At 39.5% G+C, this 23352-nt stretch overlaps 1 long non-coding RNA gene and 1 pseudogene across 1 annotated transcript; both read left to right on the forward strand.

Annotated features, from left to right (window-relative positions):
• On the forward strand, positions 661-1403 carry LOC100419775 (zinc finger protein 519 pseudogene; annotated as a pseudogene).
• Positions 3170-22143, forward strand: LOC124901624 (uncharacterized). The gene is made up of 2 exons (XR_007060302.1): positions 3170-3464; positions 21239-22143. It is a non-coding gene; the product is annotated as an uncharacterized LOC124901624 (long non-coding RNA).
• Positions 22144-23352: the final 1209 nt, after the last annotated feature.

The raw sequence follows: 23352 nt of genomic DNA on the forward strand, positions 1-23352 counted from the left end.
GAAGATATATAAATTAGCGACAAGAACATGAAAAGATGCCCAACATCATTCTTTATTTGGGAAACACAAATCAAAACCACAATGTGATACCACTTCGTACCCACTAGGATAGCTAATTAGAAAATGGAAAATAAGTTTTTGCAAGGATAGGAGAAACTGGAACACTTGTACATTGTTAGTGGGAATGTAAAATGGCTCAGCTACTGTAGAAAACTGTTTGGGAATTTCCCAAAAAGTTAAACATAGAATTACCATATGACCAGTAATTCCACTTCTAGGTATATACTCAAAAGAACTGAAAACGGATATTCAAACACTTGCACATAAATGTTCATAGCAGCACTATTTCCAAAAGCTAAAAAATAGGAACAACCCAAATGTCTATCAGCTGAGAATGGATAAACAAAATATGGTATATCCATACAATGAACTGTTATTGAGTCATGAAAAGAATAAAGTATCGACACATGCTACAACATGGATGAATCTTGATAATAAAATGCTCGTCGGACCACCTTCCTAGCTTGGGGTGTCATCTTTGAAGTGTCTCCTCGGCTTTGGGAGTGATCAGATGGCTCTGCCACAGCCTCTGTCCCCTTGTGACCTACAGGTACTGGGAGATCCGTAAATAAGACGACAGAACACCCTGGAAGCTGGGAAATGGGACTGTTGACATTCAGGAATGTGACCAAAGAATTCTCTCTAGGTAAGTGAGAATGACTGGACCCTGCTCAGTGGAAATTGTATAGGAATGTGATGTTAGAACTACAGAAACCTGGTCTTCCTTTTTGTCTTGTTCTCCAAGCTGAACCTGATCACCTATCTGGAGCAAAGGAAAGAGCCCTGGGATGCGAAGAGGCAGGAGATAGTAGCTAAAGCCCCAGCTACGTATTCTTATTACAACCAAGGTTGTTTGTCAGAGCAAAGCATAGAAGATTCATTCCGAAAAGTGATACAGAGAAGATATGGGAGCTGTGGCCTTGAGAATTTACACTTAAGAAAAAACTGGGAAAGTATGGGTAACTGTGAAGGGCAAAAAGAATGTTATAATGCATATAACCAGTGTCTGATAACTACTCTTAACAATAATTTAAGTGCCAAAGGAGACTAAGAACATAAAATATCTCAGAAGAAACCTCAATTTATGTCTGCTACTTCTACAGAACCCTGTTTTTTTTTTCTTTTGGTAAGAATCAACATTAATTTTTGAAATTTTTTTTGTAATGAAAATCAGGAAAACTTTAACAATGGCTCACATGTTAGTAAACATCAGAGTGCTCATTTTTCAGAGAACTTTTACAAATGTAACAAATGTGGGAAAGCCTTTCACCAATCCACAAAATTATTACCAGAGTATTGATATTCAACAGATGTCTTACAAATGTAACGAATGTGGTAAAACTTAATTTTTTTTAACTTTTAATTTTTATGGTACACAGTAGGTGTATACTTGTAGGATACACGAGATGTTTTTGTACAGGTGTGCAATGTGTAAATTGGGTATCCATCCCCTCAAGTGTTTATCCTTGGTGTTACAAACAATTCAATTATACTCTTTTAGTTATTTAAAAATGTATAATTACATTGTTATTGACTATCGTACCCCTGTTATGATATCAAATACTAGGTTTTATTCATTCTCTCTAAATACTTTTTTTGTACCCATTAACCATCCCCACCTTGCCCCTAGCCCTCACTACCCTTGCCAGTCTCTGGTAACCATCCTTCTATTCTCTATCTCCATGAGTTCAATTGTTTTGATGTTTAGATCTCACAAATAAATGAGAATATATGATGTTTGTAGAAAAAAAGAGAGGAAAATATAATGCTCGTTGAAAGACCCAGACACCATAGGTTACATATTGTATGATTCCATTTACATTAAATACCTAGATAGGTAAAGCCATAGAGACAGAAAGCAGATTAGAGGTTGCCACGGGCTGGGGGTCAGAGGAGAAAGAGACAGTGACTGCCTAATGGATACAAGGTTTTATTTGGGGCTGATGAAATGTTTTGGGACTACAGGTGATACTTGCACAACATTGTGAATATACTAAATGCCACTGGTTTGTACACTTTAAATTGGCTAATTTTATGATAGGTAAATTTTACTTTAATTTTTTAAAAAAGAAGGCAGCCAGAGTAAGACAGGGCACCCCGATGTCCAGAGTGGAGTTGGCTGTAGGTGAGCAGGTGAGGGGATAAAATTATGGGGGAGATGGGACCTCTTCCTAGGGTATTTGTTATCTGTGTGGAGGTAGCAGGTAGTTGTGAGTGAGCAGGATGTGGAAGGCTCTGTAGTGGAAGACTCCAGTGCCGACTTCACAAGAAAAGCACATCCAAAAGGACAGGGTGGACATTCGTCTAGGCTGATTGGCATTTTCAGTGTGCCCTGCTCTGTAACGTGTAGGACTGGGAGCCTGTTGGAAATGCAGAATCTCAAGCCCTGTTCCAGACTCCCTGGATTAGAATCAGGTGTGATAATATCATCATGTGATCTTTAGGCACGTTAAAGTTTGAAAAATGTTGTAGAGAAAACAAAGCCCCAAATGTTTCATTGAACTTGACTAATCCATAACAAATTTCCTTGGGAATGAGGCAGAGAGGGAGTGAGTATTTTCTGGTTGAAACACAGAGAAACTGTTCCCAGATACAAGTCTGCCCAATATTTGCCTTTCATGGTAGCATTTATTTCAGGAGCTGAAACACCAAAATGAACACATTGAAAACCTAAAGGTATGTGGCCAGGCGCAGTGGCTAACGCCTGTAATCCCAGCAATTTGGGAGGCCAAGGCAGGTGGATCACAAGGTCATGAGATCGAGACCATCCTGGCTAACATGGTGAAACCCCTTCTGTATTAAAGAATACAAAAAATTAGCTGGGTGTGGTGGCGGGCCCCTGTAGTCCCAGCTACTTGGGAGGCTGAGGCAGGAGAATGGCATGAACTTGGGAGGCGGAGCTTGCAGTGAGCTGAGATCATGCCACTGCATTCCAGCCTGGGCGACAGAGTGACTCCGTCTCAAAAAAAAAAAAAAAATCCTAAAGGTATGTATGTCAATTTTTACAATGCTTGAAAATTGGGAAATAAAGAAAAGTTGAAAAAAATAAACATGTCAATCATAATCCCATCTCCAAGAGATAACCAGTATTAACATCCTGCTTTTGCAGACATCCTACACAGCCTAAGGATTGGCTGAAGATGTACCCGTGAGAGCCTTCTCCTCTAAGTGTGGTCATGTGCCCCAAAAGGAACTGAGGGACTTTCAAAAAGATGCTCTCTCTACATTGCATCTCTGTCACCAGACTCCTGTCTCTCTCTCTAGACCAGCTGCTTGGAAGGAGCAAGCTGCCCACAGTATGTTCAGTCACAGGGAGAGACACTTCTCTGCATTGGAGCCAACGTTTATGGAGAAAGAAGAGCTCAGCCTGGGTCATGTTCCCACTGGATCACTGCACTAGCATGGTACCTTAGGCTGTAGTTATGTGGGTGGACCAGGGATGGGCACAGTGAGATTGCTTTAGAATTCTACTGCAAGACTAAAACATAGATAGTTCAAGGAAATATTGAGGGATTTATGTAAAGTAAACTAGGTTTAGTTAAAATTGACTTATTTTGGACACATGAATCTGTTTAGTTTCTAAGAAAAGATGATGAGAATGTAGGATTATCCTTGTCACATTCAGAGTAATAAGAAAGATACTAATGCTAACTTTAAGAATTTGGAACCAGTTTTCACTAAAATATTCTTATATCTGAAATGCCTAAAAAGTTGTTTTGTAACTTTTTATTTTGAAATAATTATAGATTCCCAGGAAGTTGCAAAAATGGGAAAGAGAGGTTGTGTGCACCTGTTACTCAGTTTTTCCCAGTGGATACATCTGATATGGTTTGGATGTTTGTCCTTTCCAAATCTCATGTTGAAATGTGACTCCCAGTGTTGGAGGTGGGGCATAGTGGGAGGTGACTGAATCATGGGAGTCAATCTCTTGTGAATGGCTTAGCACTATTCCCTTGGTGATAAGTGAGTTCTTGCTCAAGTAGTTCATGTGAGATCCGGTTGTTTAAAAGAGTCCAGGATCTCCCCCTTCTCTCTCTCTTGCTCCATTTTGCCACGTGTCACTGGCTCCTCATCACCTTCTGGCATGATTGTGAGTTTCCTGAGGCATCACTAAAGAGCACATGTTGGCACCATGCTTTACAGCCTGCAGAGCCACGTGCCAAAATAAAGTTTTTTTCCTTATAAATTGCCCAGCCTCTGGTCTGCCTTTAGAGCAGTGGTCCCCAACCTTTTTGGAACCAGGGATTGGTTTTGTGGAAGACAAGTTTTCCATGGACTTGGGGTGGGGGGTGGGGGGGCATTAGATTTTCATAAGGAACATGCAACCTCAATCCTTCACATGTGCGGTTCACAATAGGGTTTGTGCTCCTATGAGAATCTAATGCTGCTCCTGATCTGACAAGAGGTGGAACTCAGTCAGTAATGCTCACTTACCTGCTGCTCACCTCCTGCTGTGCGGCCTGGTTCCTAACAGGCCACGGACCAGTACTGGTCCATGGCCCTGGGGTTGGAGACCCTTGCTTTAGAGCAACATAAATGGACTAACACAAAGAACAGATACTAATAATTGGGGCATTGCTATAAAGATACCTGAAAGTGCAGAAGCAGCTTTGGAACTGGTTAACAGGCAGAGACTGGAAGAGTTTGGAGGACTCAGAAGACAGGAAGATGAGGGAAAATTTGGAAGTTCTTGAAGACTGGTTAAATGGTTCTGACCAAAATCATAGAAATGTGGACAGTGAAGGCCAGGCTGATGAGGTCTCAGATGGAAATGAGGAAGTTACTGGAAACTAGAGTAAAGATCACCTATTTTATGCCCTAGCAAAGAACTTAGCTGCATTGTGTCCAAGCCCTAGGGATCTGTGGAAACTTGAAGTTAAGAGTGATAACCTAGAGTATCTGATGGAAGAAATTTCTAAGCAGCAAAACATTTGAGATGTGGTATGGTTGCTTCTAACTGCCTACAACCAGATACGGGAGCAAAATAGTGAATGTAAAAATTTGAATATAAAAATTTGAAAAATTTGCAGCCTGGCCCTGTGGTAGAGAAAGTATCCAAGCAGGCTAATTAAAAGGGAACCAAGTGCTAATATCCAAGACAATAGAAAAAAAGACTTGAAGGCATTTCAGAAGTCTTCAGGACAGCCCCTCCTATCCCAGGCCTAGAGGCCTGGGAAGAAAGAATGGTTTCAGGGGCCAGGTCCAGGATACTGCTGTCCTGCTTACCCTCAGGACACTACTGCCTGCATTCCAGCCACTTCAGCTCTAGCCTTTCGTCAAAGTGGCCCAAGTACAGCTTGGGTTGCTGCTCTGGAGGGTGCAAACTATAAGCTTCGGTGGCTTCCACATGGTGTCAAGCAGGTGTAAAGAATGGAAGTCATCTTTCTTTCTTTGTTGGTCTAGCTAGGAGTTTATCAATTTTGTTTATCTTTAAAAAAACCTTTTCATTTCATTGATTCTTTATTTTTATAAGTCTACTTCATTTAGTTCTGCTCTGATCTTTATTATTTCTTTCCTTCTACTAATTTTGGGTTTGTTTTGTTTTTGCTTTTCTCATACCTTGAGGTGCATCAGTATATTGTTTATTTGAAATTTTTCTATTATTTTGATGTAGGTATTTATTGCTATAAACCTTCCTCTTAGCACTACTTTTGCTGTATCCATAGGTTTTGATATGTTATGTTTTGATTTTTCACTTGTTTCAAGAAATTTTAAAAATTTCTTCTTAATTTCTTCCTTGACCCAATCATCATTCAGGAGTACGTTGCTTAATTTCCAAGTATTTGTACAGTTTTCAGAGTTCCTTTTGTTATTTATTTCTAGTTTTATTCTATTGTGACCTGAGAAGATACTTGATATAATTTTGGTTTTTAAAAATTTGTTGGGAATTGTTTTGTGTCTTAACATATAATCTATCCTAGAGAATGTTCCATATGCTGATGAGAAGAATGTGTATTCTGTAGCTATTGGGTGAATTTTCTGTAAATGTTTGTTTGGTCCTTTTGGTGTAAAGTGCAGTTTAAATCCAGTATTTCTTTGTTCTGTCTAAAAGATCTGTCCAAGGCTGAGAGTGGGGTTATTGACATGCCTAACTATTATTGTGTTGGAGTCTCTCTCTCTTTAGATTTAATAATATTTGCTTTATATATCTGGATGTTCCAGTTTTGGGTGCATAGAGGTTTAGAATTGTTACATCCTCTTGCTGAAGTGATCCCTTTATCATTATATAATGACCTTCTTTGTCTGTTTTTATTGTTTCTGACTTAAGGTCTGTTTTATCTGATATAAGTTTAGCTACTCCTGCTCACTTTTGGTGTTTGTTTGCATGAGATATATTTTTCTATCTCTTTCCTTTCACTTTATATGTGTCATTATAGGTGAATTGAATTTCTCATAGGCAGCATATAGTTAGGTTATGTTTTTTTCATCCATTCAGCCAGTCCATATCTTTTAAGCAGAAAATTTGATGTATTTACATTCAGGGTTATTATTGATATATGATGTCTTATTCCTATAACTTTATTAATTTTTTTTTTGTATATGCTTTGTTTTTTCTCTCTTATTATTTATCATTATGGTTTGATGATTTTCTGTAATGGTAACATTAAGGCCTTTCTCTTTCTTATTTGTGTGTTTGCTTTACCAGCGGATTTTATACTTTCATGTATTTTCATGATGGTAGATATCATTCTTTCATTTCCAGATGGAAGTCTCCTTTAAGCATTTCTTGTAGAGCTGGTCTAGTGGTGATGAATTCTCTGAGCTTTTGCTTGTCTGGGAAAGAATTTATTTCACCTTCATTTATGAAAGATAACTCTGCTGAGTTTGGTGCCTTCAGCTGGCAGTTTTTTCCTCCCAGCACTTTGAATATATCATCTAATTCTCTCCTGCCTTGTAAAGTTTCTGCTGAGAAATCTGCTGTTAGTCTCATGGGTATTCTTTTATAAGTACCTAGATGTTTTACTTTTGCTGTTTCTAGAATTCTCTCTTTGTCATTTGACAGTTTGACTCTAATGTGCCATAGAGAAGATCTTTTTCAATTGTATCTATTTAGGGATCTCTTAGCTTTCTGTATATGGATGTTTAAATCTCTTGCTACACTTGGGAAGTTTTCAGCTATTATTTCATTAAGTAGGCTTTCTAGCCCTTTGGTCTCTTTGTCTTCTAGGACACCAAAAATTTGAATATTTGGTCAATTTATGGTGTCTCAAATGTCATGTAGACTTTGTTCTTTGGTTTTAAAATTTATTTTTCTTTACTTTTTTGTCCAAGTAGGTAACTTCAATAGACCTGTCTTCAAGTTCTGAAATTCTTCTGCTTGATCTGTTGTTGAAATTTTTTTTTTTTTTTTGAGGGAGTTTTGCTCTTGTCACCCAAGCTGGTGTGCAATGGCTTGATCTTGGCTCACTGCAACCTCTGCCTCCCAGGTTCAAGCGATTCTTCTGCCTCAGCCTCCGGAGCAGCTGGGATTACAGGTGTGCGCCACCACGCCCGGATAATTTTTGTATTTTTAGTAGAGATGGGATTTTGCCATGTTAGTCAGGCTGGTCTCAAACTGACCTCAGGTGATCCACCTGCCTTGGCCTCCCAAAGTGCTGGGATTACAGGTGTGAGCCACTGCACCTGGACTAAAACTTTCAAATGTAATTTTTATTTTGTTCAATGAACTCTTCATTTCTAGGATTTCTGTGTGGTTCTTTTTTGATATCTATCTCTTTGATAATTTTTTCATTGATATCCTGAATTATTTTTCTGATTTCTTTATATTGTTTACCTGTGTTCTCTTGTGTCCCACAAAGCTTCCTTAATATTATTAATTTGAGTTCTTTTTCTGGGAATTTATAAGTTTTTTTTTTCTATTAGAACTTGTTACTGGAGAACTATTGTGTTCTCTTAGAAGTATAATATTTCCTTACTTTTTCATGTTTCTTGTGTTCTTACATTGATATTTGTGCATCTGGTGTAACAGTTACTTCTTCCAATTTTTTTGGATTTGCTTTCATAAGGGAGGACTTTTTTTCCTGAAGATGTATCTATGATATTCGTTGAGTAGGGCACTTTGGCTTTGATTCTGGGTGTTTGCCATGGTGTATTCTCCATATAATTTGTTTGGCTTTCAACAGCATGAGTGGCATTTATGATCTTCTCAGTGGCTCAAAGTGTAGTTGTTAGTGGAGGCTGTGGTGAATTTTTGCTGGGGACAGAGATGGGGATTGGGCCTGTGCTCAGGCGCCAATGGGGGCGATGGTGGGCTTAGTATGAACATCTTTGGTTCCCAAAGTGGTGTAGACTGGAACCAGTTTTAGTGGGTCCAGGCATCTTTCTTGGGTGTCTGCAGTGGCAGCAGTGGACTTGACAGGTGGGAGAATGTTCAGGCTTCTGAGCAGCAGGTGTGGTGTGAGCAATGGCAATAGCAGTGGTGGGACAACCCTGTGGCTCCCAAGTGGTTTGCACTGATGGTGGTGGTGGTTATAATGGGCTGGGCAGATCAGTCTTCTGGCCTGAAGGTGGCATGCGCAAGTAAGTGCCAGCTCTGGTGTTAGTTGTAGGCTGTGTGAGCCTGTCTTCAGGCTTCTGGGAAAAGTGCTCAGAAGTGCCTAACAGGGAAAGATGATCCCGAGGCACCTAGATGGTGTGCTTGGGCATTGGGGAGGTGAGTGGGGCCAGGCTGGGCAGGCCTGTCTTCGTGACCCCCAGTGGTGCATATGGTTGCCGGCTGTGGTGGTAGGGGTGTGGTGATCCCTAGGCCTCTGGTAAGGTGCTCAGATGGGGATGGCAGTGGCTGCACTGCAGTCCTACTCCTGGTGAGGGCAGGGTTGCTTTCAGTGTCAGCAGCTATGGGCAGGTAGCTGGGGAGCTCGCATTTCTGCTCCAGGTGGTGGCTGCGGGTGGGATAGCCTGTCCTCAGGGTGCTTGTAAATGTATAGTGGCCCCATAGCTAATGATTGGGGGGTTGCTGCCAGTGGCTTGTGCTTTGGTCCCAGTAGCAGCAGCCCACAGTGACAGCTGTGGGCAGGGGTGCTGTCCTCAGGGTGTTTGTAAATGTGTGGTGGCTCTGTGGCTGTGGGTGGCAGTGTCACTGTCAGTGAGGTGCACTTTAGCACCCGGAGGCAGCAGGCAGCAGCAGTGGCAGATGCAGGCAGGAGAGCCTATCCTCAGGGCATTTGTAAATGCACTGTGGCCCCAGTGCTGAAGGTAGTGGGGTTGCTGCTAGTGGCATGCACTTCTACCCCAGTGGCATCATCCAGCAGCAATGGTGGCTGCAGGTGGGGGATGTCAGTGGAGTTCCAGGGATGTGGAGATGCAGAGGCTTTTGGCCCCAGGGCCAGATTCAGTATGATGGGGGCTGAGCTTCCAAAATAGTCCTGCACTGTAGCTGCTTAGGAGTCAGGGGGAGTATGGGACCTGGCATGAGCTCCCTCTCTGGAGCAACATCACCACACAGTCTCTAGGCAGCTCTCTATATCAGTCTCAGGACACACAAGGGTCAAGGGCCTTTCCCATGGCTAGGATTGGAGGAGTCTGTGATGGGAATGTGGACAATTGGGAGTCTCTCATTTACCCTTTTCCCACACTGGGGAGCCTCTCTGGGCTCCCAGATGATCCTGGCTGAGCAGGCTGCCTTGCTTCCATTTACTTCCTTGCTTTAGGTGTTTCCTGTCACTTCTATGTTGAATTCCAGTATTCTCTATTTGATGATCCATTTGAAGTGTGATTATCTACTCGTTATTTTTGTTCTTCTTTGTGGAGGAGGTGAATGTCAGGTGTCTCTACTCAGCCGTCTTGAAGCTTCTGACATTTTATATTTAAAACTATGATCCATTTGAGTTAATTTTACAAAAAGTATAAGGTTTAAATCAAAGTAATTTTTTTTTTTTGGCTATGGCTGTCTAAATGCTCCAGTGCCATTGTTGAAAAGGCTATTTTCCCCTCTACTTAGATTCTTGCTCTTTTCTAAAAATTCAGCTGGATGTATTTGTGAGCATATTTCTGGGTTCTTTATTCTGTCCACTGATCTATGTGTCTATACCTCTGCAACACTATACTGTCTCGATTACTGTAGCCATACCATAAGTCTTAGCATCAGGTAGAGTGATCTTTACATGTTTTCTTGCTTTGAAAAAAACTTTTTAAGCTAGTTCCTTTCCCCTTACATATAAATTTTAGAATAAGCTGGTCAATATATGTAAAATATGTTATTGGGATTTTGGTAAAATTATATTAAGCCTATATATCAATTCAGGGATAATTGAAGACTACTATATTGAGTCTTCCAATCCATGAGCATGATATATCTTGCAGTTTATTGAGACCTTCTTTGATTTCTTTCATCAGCATATTGTAGCTTTTTGTGTACAAGCCCTGTCAATGCTTTATTAGAATTATTGCTTAGTATTTCATTTTTAAGTGATTGCAAAGGGTATTGATTTTTTTTATTTTGGTTCTAACATGTTAATTATTAGTATATAGAAATATATTTAATTTTTGTATCTTCATTTTGTGTCCTGAGACATTAGTGAACTCTTTTGTTAGTCTAGGGTTAAAAAAAAAATTCTTCGTGATTTTCTACATACTTTCTTTTCTTGCCTGTCTGGCTAGATTTTCATTACTATGTTAAATAAGAGTGCTGGGAGAAGACATTATTGCTTTGTTCCCAATTAGGGGGAAAACATTAAGTCTATCACCATTATGTATGATATTACCTATAGGATTTTTTTTTCCTTGAGTAGATGTTCTTTATCAAGTACAGAAATTTCCTCTCCGTTCCTAGTTTTCAGAATGTCTTTATCATAAATTGGTGTTAAATTTTGTCAAGTGTTTTTCTGAATTTTTTGATATTATCATATGATTTTTCTTCTTTAGAGTGTTCATATGGGGAATTGCATTGATTGAATTTCAAATACTGAATTAGCATTGTATCCCTGGAATAAAACTTAGTTGGTCATGCCATATAATTATTTTTATATATTGCTGAGTTTAATTTGTTAATAATTTATTAAGAACATTTGAATCTATGTTCCTGAGAGATTTGGGTGTATATTTTCAGTTTTGGTACTATCTTTTTCTAATTTTGGTATCAAAGTACTACTGACCTCATAAAGTGAGTTGGGAAGTGTTTTCTCCTCTTCTCTTTTCTGGAGGAGATTTTGTAAAAATGTACTGTTTCTTCTATCAATATTTAGTAGAATTATGTGGTGAAATCAGTTAAGCTTGCAGGTTTCTTTTTTGTCTGTTTTTAAGTTGTGAATTTGATTCCTTTAATAGTTATAGGGATATTCAAATTATCTTCTTCATATTGAGTAATTTTGGTAGTTTGTGCCATTCAAAGATTGGTCTGTTTTATCTAAGTTGTCAAATTTTTGAGTGTTCTTTTTTCAAGTATTCTTTTATTATTCTTTTGATGCCTAGTAAGTGTGTAGTGATATTCCCTGTTCCAGTTTCAATATTAGTTGCATGTGTCTTCTCTGGGTTTTTTTTTTTTTGTCAGTCTTGATAGAAGTTGGTTAATTTTAATGGTCTTTTTTAAAAACTAGCTTTTTGTCACATTGATTTTTTCTGTTGCTTTTCTGATCATAATTTCACTGATATCTGTGCTTCTTAAAAGTATTTCCTTCATTGTGTTTCTTTGGGTTCATTTTTCTTTTATTCTAGTTTCTTGAAGTGGGAGCTTGGATTATGTAGTTGAGATTTTTCTTCCTTTTTAATGTAAGGATTCAATGCTATAAATTTCTCTTTTGGCACTGTTTTATCTGTGTCTCACAAATTTTAAGTCAGTTCTAAGTATTTTAAAAATTTCCCTGAAACTTCCTTTTTGAGTCATGGATTAGTTGTTTAATTTATCAGGTTGTGGAGATTTTCCAGTTATCTTTCTGTTATTGATTTCCAATATGATTCCACTGTGATCACAGAACTTACTGTGTATAATTTTAATTCTTTTTTGGTGAGGTTTGTTTATGGCTCAAGATATGGTGTAGCTTGGTAAATGTGTAAAAAATAATGTGCATTCTGCTGTAGTGAGGTAGAGTGTTCTAGAAATGCAAATTAGATCCTTTTGGTTGATGGTGTTGTTGAGTACTTCTATATTTATGATGACTAATTTTATGTGCAAACCTGGAGGGTATTTTTTGATGAAATTAGCATGTAAATCGCTGAACTTTGAGTAAAGCAGATTGTCTTACCTAGTGCAAGTGGGCCTTATCCAATCAGTTGAAGGCCTGCCCAGAACAAAAAGACCAGCCTCATCAAGCAAGAAATAATTCTCTGGGGGCGGTTCCAAGATGGCCAAATAGGAACAGCTCCAGTCCACAGCTCCCAGCATGAGCGATGCAGAAGACGGGTGATTTCTGCATTTCCAATTGAGGTACTGGGTTCATCTCACTGGGGCATGTCAGACACTGGGGGCAGGACAGTGGGTGCAGCCCACTGAGTGAGAGCTGAAGCAGGGCGAGGCATCACCTCACCCAGGAAGTGCAAGGGATCAGGGAATTCCCTTTCCTAGCCAAGGGAAGAGGTGAAGGACGGCACCTGGAAAATTGGGTCACTCCTACCCTAATACTGTGCTTTTCCAACCATCTTAGCAAACGGCACACCAGGAGATTATATCCCGCACTTGGCTCAGTGGGTCCCATGCACATGGAGCCTCGCTCTTTGCTAGCGCAACAGTCTGAGATTGATCTGCAAGGCAGCAGCAAGGCTGGGGGAGGGGCGGCCACCATTGCTGAGGCTTGAGTAGGTAAACAAAGTGGCCAGGAAGCTCCAACTGGGTGGAGCCCACTGCAGCTCAAGGAGGCCTGCCTGCCTCTGTAGATTCCACCTCTGGGGGCAGGGCATAGCCGAACAAAAGGCAGCAGAAACCTCTGCAGACTTAAATGTCCCTGTCTGACAGCTTTGAAGTGAGTAGTGGTTCTCCCAGCACAGAGTTTGAGATCTGAGAATGGACAGACTGCCCCCTCAAGTGGGTCCCTGACCCCCGAGTAGCCTAACTGGGAGGCACTCCCGAGTAGGGGCAGACTGACACCTGACATGGCCAGTACCCCTCTGAGACGAAGCTTCCAGAGGAATGATCAGGCAGCAACATATGCTCTTCAGCAATATTTGCTGTTCTGCAGCCTCCGCTGCAGATACCCAGGCAAACAGGGTCTGGAGTGGACCTCCAGCAAACTCCAACAGACCTGCAGCTGAGGCTCCTGACTGTTAGAAGGAAAACTAACAAACAGAAAGGACATCCACACCAAAAACCCATCTGTATGTCACCAGCATCAAAGACCAAAGGTAGATAAAACCACAAAGATGGGGAAAAAACAGAGCAGAAAAGCTGAAAATTCTAAAAATCAGAGCTCCTCTCCCCCTCCAAAGAAATGTAGCTCTTTGCCAGCAATGGAACAAAACTGGATGGAGAATGACTTTGACGAGTTGAGAGAAGAAGGCTTCAGACAATCAAACTTCTCCAAGCTAAAGGAGGAAGTTCAAACTCAACGCAAAGAAGTTAAAAACCTTGAAAAAAATTAGACGAATGGCTAACTAGAATAACCAATGTAGAGAAGTCCTTAAATGACCTGATGGAGCTGAAAAACATGGCACGAGAACTATGTGACGAATGCACAAGCTTCAGTAGCTGATTCGATCAATTGGAAGAAAGGGTATCAGTGATGGAAGATCAAACGAATGAAATGAAGTGAGAAGAGAAGTTTAGAGAAAAAAGAGTAAAAAGGAATGAACATAGCCTCCAAGAAATATGGGACTATGTGAAAAGACCAAATCTACGTCTGATTGGTGTACCTGAAAGTGACAGGGAGAAAGGAACCAAGTTGGAAAACACTCTTCAGGATATTTTCCAGGAGAACTTCCCCAATGTAGCCAGGCAGGCCAACATTCAAATTCAGGAAATACAGAGAATGCCACAAAGATACTCCTCAAGAAGAGCAACTCCAAGACACATAATTGTCAGATTCACCAAAGTTGAAATGAAGGAAAAAATGTTAAGGGCAGCCAGAGAGAAAGGTTGGGTTACCCTCAAAGGGAAACCCATCAGACTAACAGCTGATCTCTCAGCAGAAACTCTACAAGCCAGAAAAGAGTGGGGGCCAATATTCAACATTCTTAAAGAAAGGAATTTTCAACCCAGAATTTCATATCCAGCCAAACTAAGCTTCATAAGTGAAGGAGAAATAAAATATTTTACAGACAAGCAAATGCTGAGAGATTTTGTCACCACCAGGCCTGCCCTAAAAGAGTTCCTGAAGGAAGCACTAAACATGAAAAGGAACAACCGGTACCAACCACTGCAAAAACATGCCAAATTGTAAAGACCATCGATGCTAGGAAGAAACTGCATCAACTAACGAGCAAAATAACCAGCTAACATCATAAAGACAGGATCAAATTCCCACATAACAATATTAACCTTAAATGTAAATGGGCTAAATGCTCCAATTAAAAGACACAGACTGACAAATTGGATAAAGAGTCAAGACCCATCAGTGTGCTGTATTCAGGAGACCCATCTCATGTGCAGAGACACACATAGGCTCAAAATAAAGGGATGAAGGAAGATCTCCCAAGCAAATGGAAAACAAAAAAAGGCAGGGGTTGCAATCCTAGTCTCTGATAAAACAGACTTAAAACCAACAAAGATCAAAAGAGACAAAGAAGGCCATTACATAATGGTAAAGGGATCAATTCAATGAGAAGAGCTAACTATCCTAAATGTATATGGACCCTATACAGGAGCACCCAGATTCATAAATCAAGTCCTTAGAGACCTACAAAGAGACTTAGACTCCCACACAATAATAATGGGAGACTTCGACACCCCACTGTCAACATTAGACAGATCAACAAGACAGAAAGTTAACAAGGATATCCAGGAATTGAACTCAGCTCTGCACCAAGCGGACTTAATAGACATCTACAGAACTCTCCACCCCAAATCAACAGAATATACATTCTTCTCAGCACAATATCACACTTATTCCAAAATTGACCACATAGTTGGAAGTAAAGCACTCCTCAGCAAATGTAAAAGAACAGAAATTGTGACAAACTGTCTCTCAGACCACAGTGCAATCAAACTAGAACTCAGGATTAAGAAACTCACTCAAAACTGCTCAACCACATGGAAACTGAACAACCTGCTGCTGAATGACTACTGGGTACATAACGAAATGAAGGCAGAAATAAAGATGTTCTTTGAAACCAGTGAGAACAAAGACACAACATACCAGAATCTCTGGGACACATTTAAAGCAGTGTGTAGAGGGAAATTTATAGCACTAAATGCCCACAAGAGAAAGCAGGAAAGATCCAAAATTGACACCATAACATCACAATTAAAAGAACTAGAGAAGCAAGAGCAAACACATTCAAAGCTAGCAGAAGGCAAGAAATAACTAGGATCAGAGCGGAACTGAAGGAGATAGAGACATAAAAAACCCTTCAAAAAATCAATGAATCCAGGAGCTGGTTTTTTGAAAAGATCAACAAAATTGATGGGCCACTAGCAAGACTAATAAAGAAGAAAAGAGAGAAGAATGAAATAGATGCAATAAAAAATGATAAAGGGGATATCACCACGAATCCCACAGAAATACAAACTACCATCAGAGAATACTACAAACACCTCTACGCAAATAAACTAGAAAATCTAGAAGAAATGGATAAATTCCTCGACACACACACTGTCCCAAGACTAAATCAGGAAGAAGTTGAATCCCTGAATAGACAAATAACAGGCTCTGAAATTGAGGCAATAATTAATAACCTACCAACCAAAAAAACTCCAGGACCAGACGGATTCACAGCTGAATTCTACCAGAGGTACAAAGAGGAGTTGATACCATTCCATCTGAAACTATTCCAATCAATAGAAAAAGAGGGAATCCTCCCTAACTCATTTTATGAGGCCAGCATCATCCTGATACCAAAGCCTGGCAGAGACACAACCAAAAAAGAGAATTTTAGACCAATATACCTGATGAACATCGATGCAAAAATCCTCAATAAAATACTGGCAAACCGAATCCAGCAGCACATCAAAAAGCTTATCCACCATGATCAAGAGGGCTTCATCCTTGGGATGCAAGGCTGGTTGAACATACGCAAATCAATAAATGTAATCCAGCATATAAACAGAACCAAAGACAAAAACCACATGATTATCTCAATAGATGCATAAAAGACCTTTGACAAAATTCAACAGCCCTTCATGCTAAAAACTCTCAATAAATTAGGTATTGATGGGAGTATCTCAAAATAATTAGAGCTATTTATGAAAAACCCACAGCCAATATCATACTGAATGGGCAAAAACTGGAAGCATTCCCTTTGAAAACTGGCACAAAACAGGGATGCCCTGTCTCACCACTCCTATTCAACATAGTGTTGGGAAGTTCTGGCCAGGGCAATCAAGCAGGAGAAAGAAATAAAGGGTATTCAATTAGGAAAAGAGGAAGTCAAATTGTCCCTCTTTGCAGATGACATGAGTGTGTATCTAGAAAACCCCATCGTCTCAGCCCAATATCTCCTTAAGCTGATAAGCAACTTCAGCAAAGTCTCAGGATACAAAATCAATGTGCAAAAATCACAAACATTCTTATACACCAATAACAGACAAACAGAGAGCCAAATCATGAGTGAACTCCAATTCACAATTGCTTCAAAGTGAATAAAATACCTAGGAATCCAACTTACAAGGGATGTGAAGGACCTCTTCAAGGAGAACTACAAACCACTGCTCAATGAAATAAAAAAGGGCACAAACAAATGGAAGAACATTCCATGCTCATGCATAGGAAGAATCAATATGGTGAAAATGGCCATACTGCCCAAGGTAATTTATAGATTCAATGCCATCCCCATCAAGCTACCAATGACTTTCTTCACAGAATTGGAAAAAACTACTTTAAAGTTCATATGGAATGAAAAAACGGCCCATATTACCAAGACAATCCTAAGCCCAAAGAACAAAGCTGGAGGCATCACACTACCTGACTTCAAACTATACTACAGGGCTATAGTAACCAAAACAGTATGGTACTGGTACCAAAACAGAGCTATAGACCAATGGAACAGAACAGAGCCCTCAGAAATAATACCACACATCTACAACCATCTGATCTTTGACAAACCTGACAAAAACAAGAAATGAGGAAAGGATTCCCTATTTAATAAATGGTGCTGGGAAAACTGGCTAGCCATATGTAGAAAGCTGAAACTGGATCCCTTCCTTACACCTCATACAAAACTTGATTCAAGATGGATTAAAGACTTACATGTTAGACCTACAACCATAAAAACCCTAGAGGAAAACCTAGGCAATACCATTCAGGACATAGGCATGGGCAAGGACTTCATGTCTAAAACACCAAAAGCAATGGCAACAAAAGCCAAATTGACAAATGGGATCTAATTAAACTAAAGAGCTTCTGCACAGCAAAAGAAACTACCATCAGAGTGAATAGGCAACATACAGAATGGGAAAAAATTTTTGCAATCTACTCATCTGACAAAGGGCTAATATCCAGAATCTACAAAGAACTCAAACAAATTTACAAGAAAAAAATAACCCCATCAAAAAGTGGGTGAAGGATATGAACAGACACTTCTCAAAAGAAGACATTTATGCAGCCAACAGACACATGAAAAAATGCTCTTCATCACTGGCCATCAGAGAAATGCAAATGAAAACCACAATGAGATACCATCTCACACCAGTTAGAATGGCGATCATTAAAAAGTCAGGAAACAACAGATGCTGGAGACGATGTGGAGAAATAGGAACACTTTTACACTGTTGGTGGGACTGTAAACTAGTTCAACCATTATGGAAGACAGTGTGGTGATTCCTCAAGGAGCTAGAACTAGAAATACCATTTGACCCAGCCATCCCATTACTGGGTATATACCCAAAAGATTATAAATCATGCTGCTATAAAGACACATGCACACGTATGTTTATTGTGGCACTATTCACAATAGCAAAGACTTGGAAGCAACCCAAATGTCCAACAATGATAGACTGGATTAAGAAAATGTGGCACATATACACCATGGAATACTACGCAGCCATAAAAAAGGATGAGTTCATGTCCTTTATAGGGACGTGGATGAAGCTGGAAACCATCATTCTGAGCAAACTATCGCAAGGACAAAAAACCAAACACCGCATGTTCTCACTCATAGGTGGGAAGTGAACAATGAGAACACTTAGACATGGGAAGGGGAACAGCACACACTGGGGCTTGTTGTGGGGTAGGGGGAGGGGAAGGGATAGCATTAGGAGATATACCTAATGTAATTGACGAGTTAATAGGTGCAGCACACCAACATGGCGCCTGTATACATATGTAAAAAACCTGCACGTTGTGCACCTATACCCTAGAACTTAAAGTATAATTAAAAATATATATATATTATAAAAAAAAAGAAATAATTCTCTGGATGACTGCTTTTACATTTTATCTGTGCCATTATCTCCCCTTTTTATCCAGCCTACCAGCCCACACAACAGATTTTGGATTTGCCAGCCTCCATAATTGACTGAGTCAATTCCTTTTAATAAGTTTCTTTACAGACACACATACATATACACACACACACACACTCACACACACACACACATCTTATTGGTTCTTTTTCTCTGGAGAATCCTGATTAATACAATGTTCTTCCTGATTTTCTGTCTAGTTATTCTGTCAATTATTGAGAGAAGAGTGTGGAAGCCTCCAGTTATAATTGTAGATTTTTCCGTTTCTCCTTTTTTAGTTCTATCATTCTTTCTTCATGTATTTTGCAGCTATGTTGTTTGGTGCATAGACATTTGGATTGCTATGGCATTTTAGGGGACTGGCCCATTTTAATTATGTAATCTTTCTCTCTATCCCTGGGAACTTATCTTATCTGGTTTTAATATTGCTACCCTAGCTTTCTTTCGATTAATTTTGGCATGGTGTATCTTTACACATCCTTTTCCTTTAGTTCTACCTCTATTGTATTTAAAGGGAATTTTTTGTAAACAGCATATCTTTTGGTATTTTTTTCTTCACTCTACCAATGTCTGTTTTTAAAAAATATTTTATTAGACCATTTATATTCAGTATAGTTGTTGATATGTTAATGCTTAAGTGTGTAATTTTATTTTTTGTTATTCTGTTTGATCTGTTTTTATTTTTTCTGCCTTCTTGTGGGTTACTTGAACATTTTAAAAATTCCTTTTATATATATTTGTGTGAGGTATAGAAACTTTATCTCTTTTTAAGTTTCTTTTCTCTCCTTCCTGTATACTTATCTTAAATATTTCCTCTATATTCATGGGCAGCCACTTAAGAAAATTTTATAATTTTTGTTTCGTGTCAAATATAATTTAGAACACTCAAGAATGGAAGAAAATACATTATAAATGCCATTATTCTTTTTCTTTCTACTGTCCTTATTTTCCAAAATTATGTCTTTTATACTTTTTGTTTATAGAACTTCCTATAGTCATTCTTTCAGGGTGGGTCTATCTCTTACATTTCTTTCACTTGCAAATGTCTTCTCTTCTCTCTAATTTCTGAAATGTATTTTCACTGGATATTGGATTCTATCTTAACAGTTCTTTTCTTATAGTGCTTGAAAAATATTATCCCACTTGCTTTTGACTTCCATGGTTTCTAATAAGAAATCTGCTGCCATTTGAATATTTTTCTCTTCTATAAATAAGGAGGCATTTCTCTCCTGCTGCTTTTGTGATTTTTTTTTCCTGTCTTCAGTTTTTAGCAGTTGGTTTATGATGTCAGTTGGCATTGTTTTAGAGGGGTTTATGACGTTTTCAGTTTGCTCAGTTTCTTAAATCTCTTAAATCTGAAGGTTTATTATATCTTTTGCCAAATTTAGGGAATTACAGTCATTATTTCTTTCAAACTTTTTAGCCCTCCTCTCTTTCTTCTCTTTTCCTTGGACTTCAATGACACAAATGTAAGATGTTTTGTTATGGTCACACAAGTCCCAGGAGCTCTGTTCATTTCTCTTCAGTCTATTTTCTCTCTTTTGTTCAGACTGGGTATTTTCTATTGTTATGCACTGAGGTTTTTTATTTTGGTTACTGGGTTTTTCAGTCTTAACATTTCTCTTTAGTTGTTCTTTAAGTTTTCTATTCTTTGCTCAGGCTTCCTATGTTTCCATTTGTTTCAAGTGCATATGTTATTGCCTGTTGAAGTATTTTTATGATAGCTGCTTCAATTTTTTTTGGTACAAAAGTGAATGCTTTTTTAGAATTAGGAAATAAATCAAAACAAATTTCTGGAGGCTTGGAGATTCAGTGCTTTTCTTCTGAGAGCTCCTTAGGCAGTTTACCAGAAACACTTATTTAGAAATGCTACCTGAAAGCAACTTGTCTTCTCTTCCTCCCCTAGAAGTTCTACAAAAGCAGCAGCCAGCAGTGCTTGTGCAAATGGAGATCCTGGAGCTATGATGTTAGCTGCTTGGTAAACACACTTCTGCCTGTTGGAGATAAACTAATCTCTAATTTCAGTTTATGGGTAAAGAGGAAGGAAAGAAAACATAAAGGGAAAAGAGCCAGGGGAAGTGGGATTGATGGTTTCTATCTGATTTTTTGTTAGTACTATTTTCTCTAGCTTCTCCTACCTCATCACTTAAGTTCTCTCTCTTTGTTTGAGCTTGTACTCCATTTAATTTGAAGTAAAAAAAGTATGTGATTTACAAAATGATGTACAAATGAAAATGGGTACTGGTACCACTCATAAACGTATTAGTACTAGTGATAGTAATAGAAGTAGTGATTGTAGTAGAGGTGAAAAGAGTGATAGTAGCAATAATGTTAGTTACAACGGTAGTTATAGTAGCAGTAAGAGTATTAGGAGTAGTAGCAAGAGTAATTGTGGTATTAATAGTACTAGTAATTGTATTAGTAACAATAGTAATAGTAGTGATAATAATATGGTGGCAATAGTAGACACAGTAGCAAGAGTAGTACAGGTAAAAATAATAGTGATACTAGTAATAGCAATAGTGCTAGGAGTAATAGTAGTTTATGTAGTAATAGCAGTAATAGTAGGAAGAACTGTAGTAGTGATTTTAATAGTGGCATGAATAGTAGTAGTAATAGTGGTAACCATAGTCACAATAATGGCATAGGTAACAGTAGTTACGGCTTAAAATTTCTTTCTTTTTTTTGACACAGGTCTTGCTCCACCAGACTGGAATGCATTATCATAGTTCACTGCAGCCTCGACTCCTGTGCTCAAGTGATCTTCCCACCTTAGCCTCCCAAGCATCTAGGACTACAGGCATGCATGCCACCACACCTAGCTAATTAAAAAAAAATTTTTTTTTTGTAGAGATGGAGGTCTCACTATGTTACCTAGGCTGGTCTTGAACTCCTGGCTTCAAGCACTCCTCCCGCCTTGGCCTCCCAAAGTGTTGAGAACATAGGTGTGAGCCATTACACCTGGCCTGCTTAAAATTCTTATCAAATAATTCAAACATCTGTGTCATCTTGATATTGGTATGTGTTTGTTAGAGTAGGTGGTTAGGCAGACATGAGCAGGGCAAGAGATGCACCCCCCTCCTCCAAAACCCGAAGAAATGTCAGATGACCATCAGGTGGTGGTCAGGTGGCTGTCAGCACCAGGGAAAGGCAGTTTCCCAATAGACAGAAAATACCTGGAGCTGGTGATAAGCAACTTCTGGATACAATCTCAGGAGTTGGGTGACGGGGCTCATGCATGTGCACTAAGAGGCAAAATGGCATACTTTAACTGGTATATGACCTTCCTCTGGCAAGGCTTGACTGGTAAGGGAAAAAAACCTCAAGTGAACATGTGCACAAATTCAGTAAACACACTGCACATGAGGCACCTCCGAAGTGCTGGCAGGCCACTGTACATGTGGACAGCCCACTCCATGGGAAGAATCAAGGGAGAAGAAATGCAAATCCTGGAACCATGCCAATGTATAAAAGCTCAAGTCAAGGGTCTGGTGTGCACTTGATTTCTCAAGTATCCTGCTTGGCCCTCTTCCAAGTATACTTTGCTTCCTTTCATTCTTGCTCTAAAACTTTAATAAACTCTCACTCCTGCCATAAAACTTGCCTTAGTCTCCTCCTCTGCCTTAAACCTACTTCTGGCCCTCGGCTAAATTCTTTCCCCTGAGGAAGCAAGGATCGAGTTGCAGCAGGCCTGTATGGATTGGCCACTGGTAACATGTTCATTGTCTATCTTCATTCCAGTTGAGATTTTCAGGTTCTTATGATGATAAATAATTTTAGATTGAATCCTGAGCATTATGGGTATGAGGAGACTCTTCATTTCATTTAAATCTTCTATTTTAGCATATCTCCTGTGATACTACACTGGTTGGAAAAGTGGGGCACTGTTTCTCTCTGGCAGTTGGGGTACAAGTCTGGGTTTCAAGTTGTCCTCCATCTGCACCCCGAAGGTACAGGACCTCCTCATGCCTGCTGGCAGGGGTGGAGCCAGGCTCCCTTTGAGGCCTCTGCTGACACAGCAGGACTGGAAGGGGGAGGGGCACCTCTTTGCCGCTTCCCACATAGTCCCCCACATACAGCTTGTCAGGGCCTTGTGGCCAATGGGTGGTGACCTCCTGTGACATCACCTTAGCAGGAAGTGGAGGGAGCTTCACTACTGCAGCATGAAGATGAAGGTCCCAGCTCTATACTTGGTCTTCTCTGATACCACCCCATAGGGAAGTAAGGGTGCCTCATTCCAGCCTTGAGGGAGTGGAAGTCTGGGGTCCCCACGTGGCTTTTGGTGGTGTGCATGGTGGTGTGGCCACAGTGTTTCCTGCAGTGTTTGGATGGAGGAGGGTGGTTATTGTATATAAGTTTTCTGTCTTGCTAGGCCCTCTCTTTCCTGGTCCTTTGAACTGGAGAAAACAGGCTTTCCTTGGTGCTTTTTTTTTTTTTTTTTTTTTGTCTATGCTGATTGTTGTCTTCGTCAGCACCCAGTCCAGAACATATGAGGCAAAAAGAACACAAGAATTGCAGTTCTTTAAGTCCCGATGTCTCTAGCTAGTTTGCCTAATTTTATCCAAAATTTCAGAGTCACTTAAAAAAAACAATTACATCAAAGGTTTTCAGCCATACCCTCAAAAGGTCACTTTTTAATTCAAAAAGGTGTAAATGATTTGGTTCATTACTAAAATCTTCTGTTGAATAATTTACGATCCCCTTTGTTTATTCAAGACAAATTTTCTTTTTTTTTTTTCATTTTGAGATGGAGTCTTGCTCTGTCACCCAGGCTGGAGTGCAGTGGCGCGAACTCAGCTCACTTCAAG

The sequence above is a fragment of the Homo sapiens genome, chromosome 7 (genome assembly GCF_000001405.40).
Source record: "Homo sapiens chromosome 7, GRCh38.p14 Primary Assembly".
In the NCBI taxonomy this organism is placed as follows: Eukaryota; Metazoa; Chordata; class Mammalia; order Primates; family Hominidae; genus Homo; species Homo sapiens.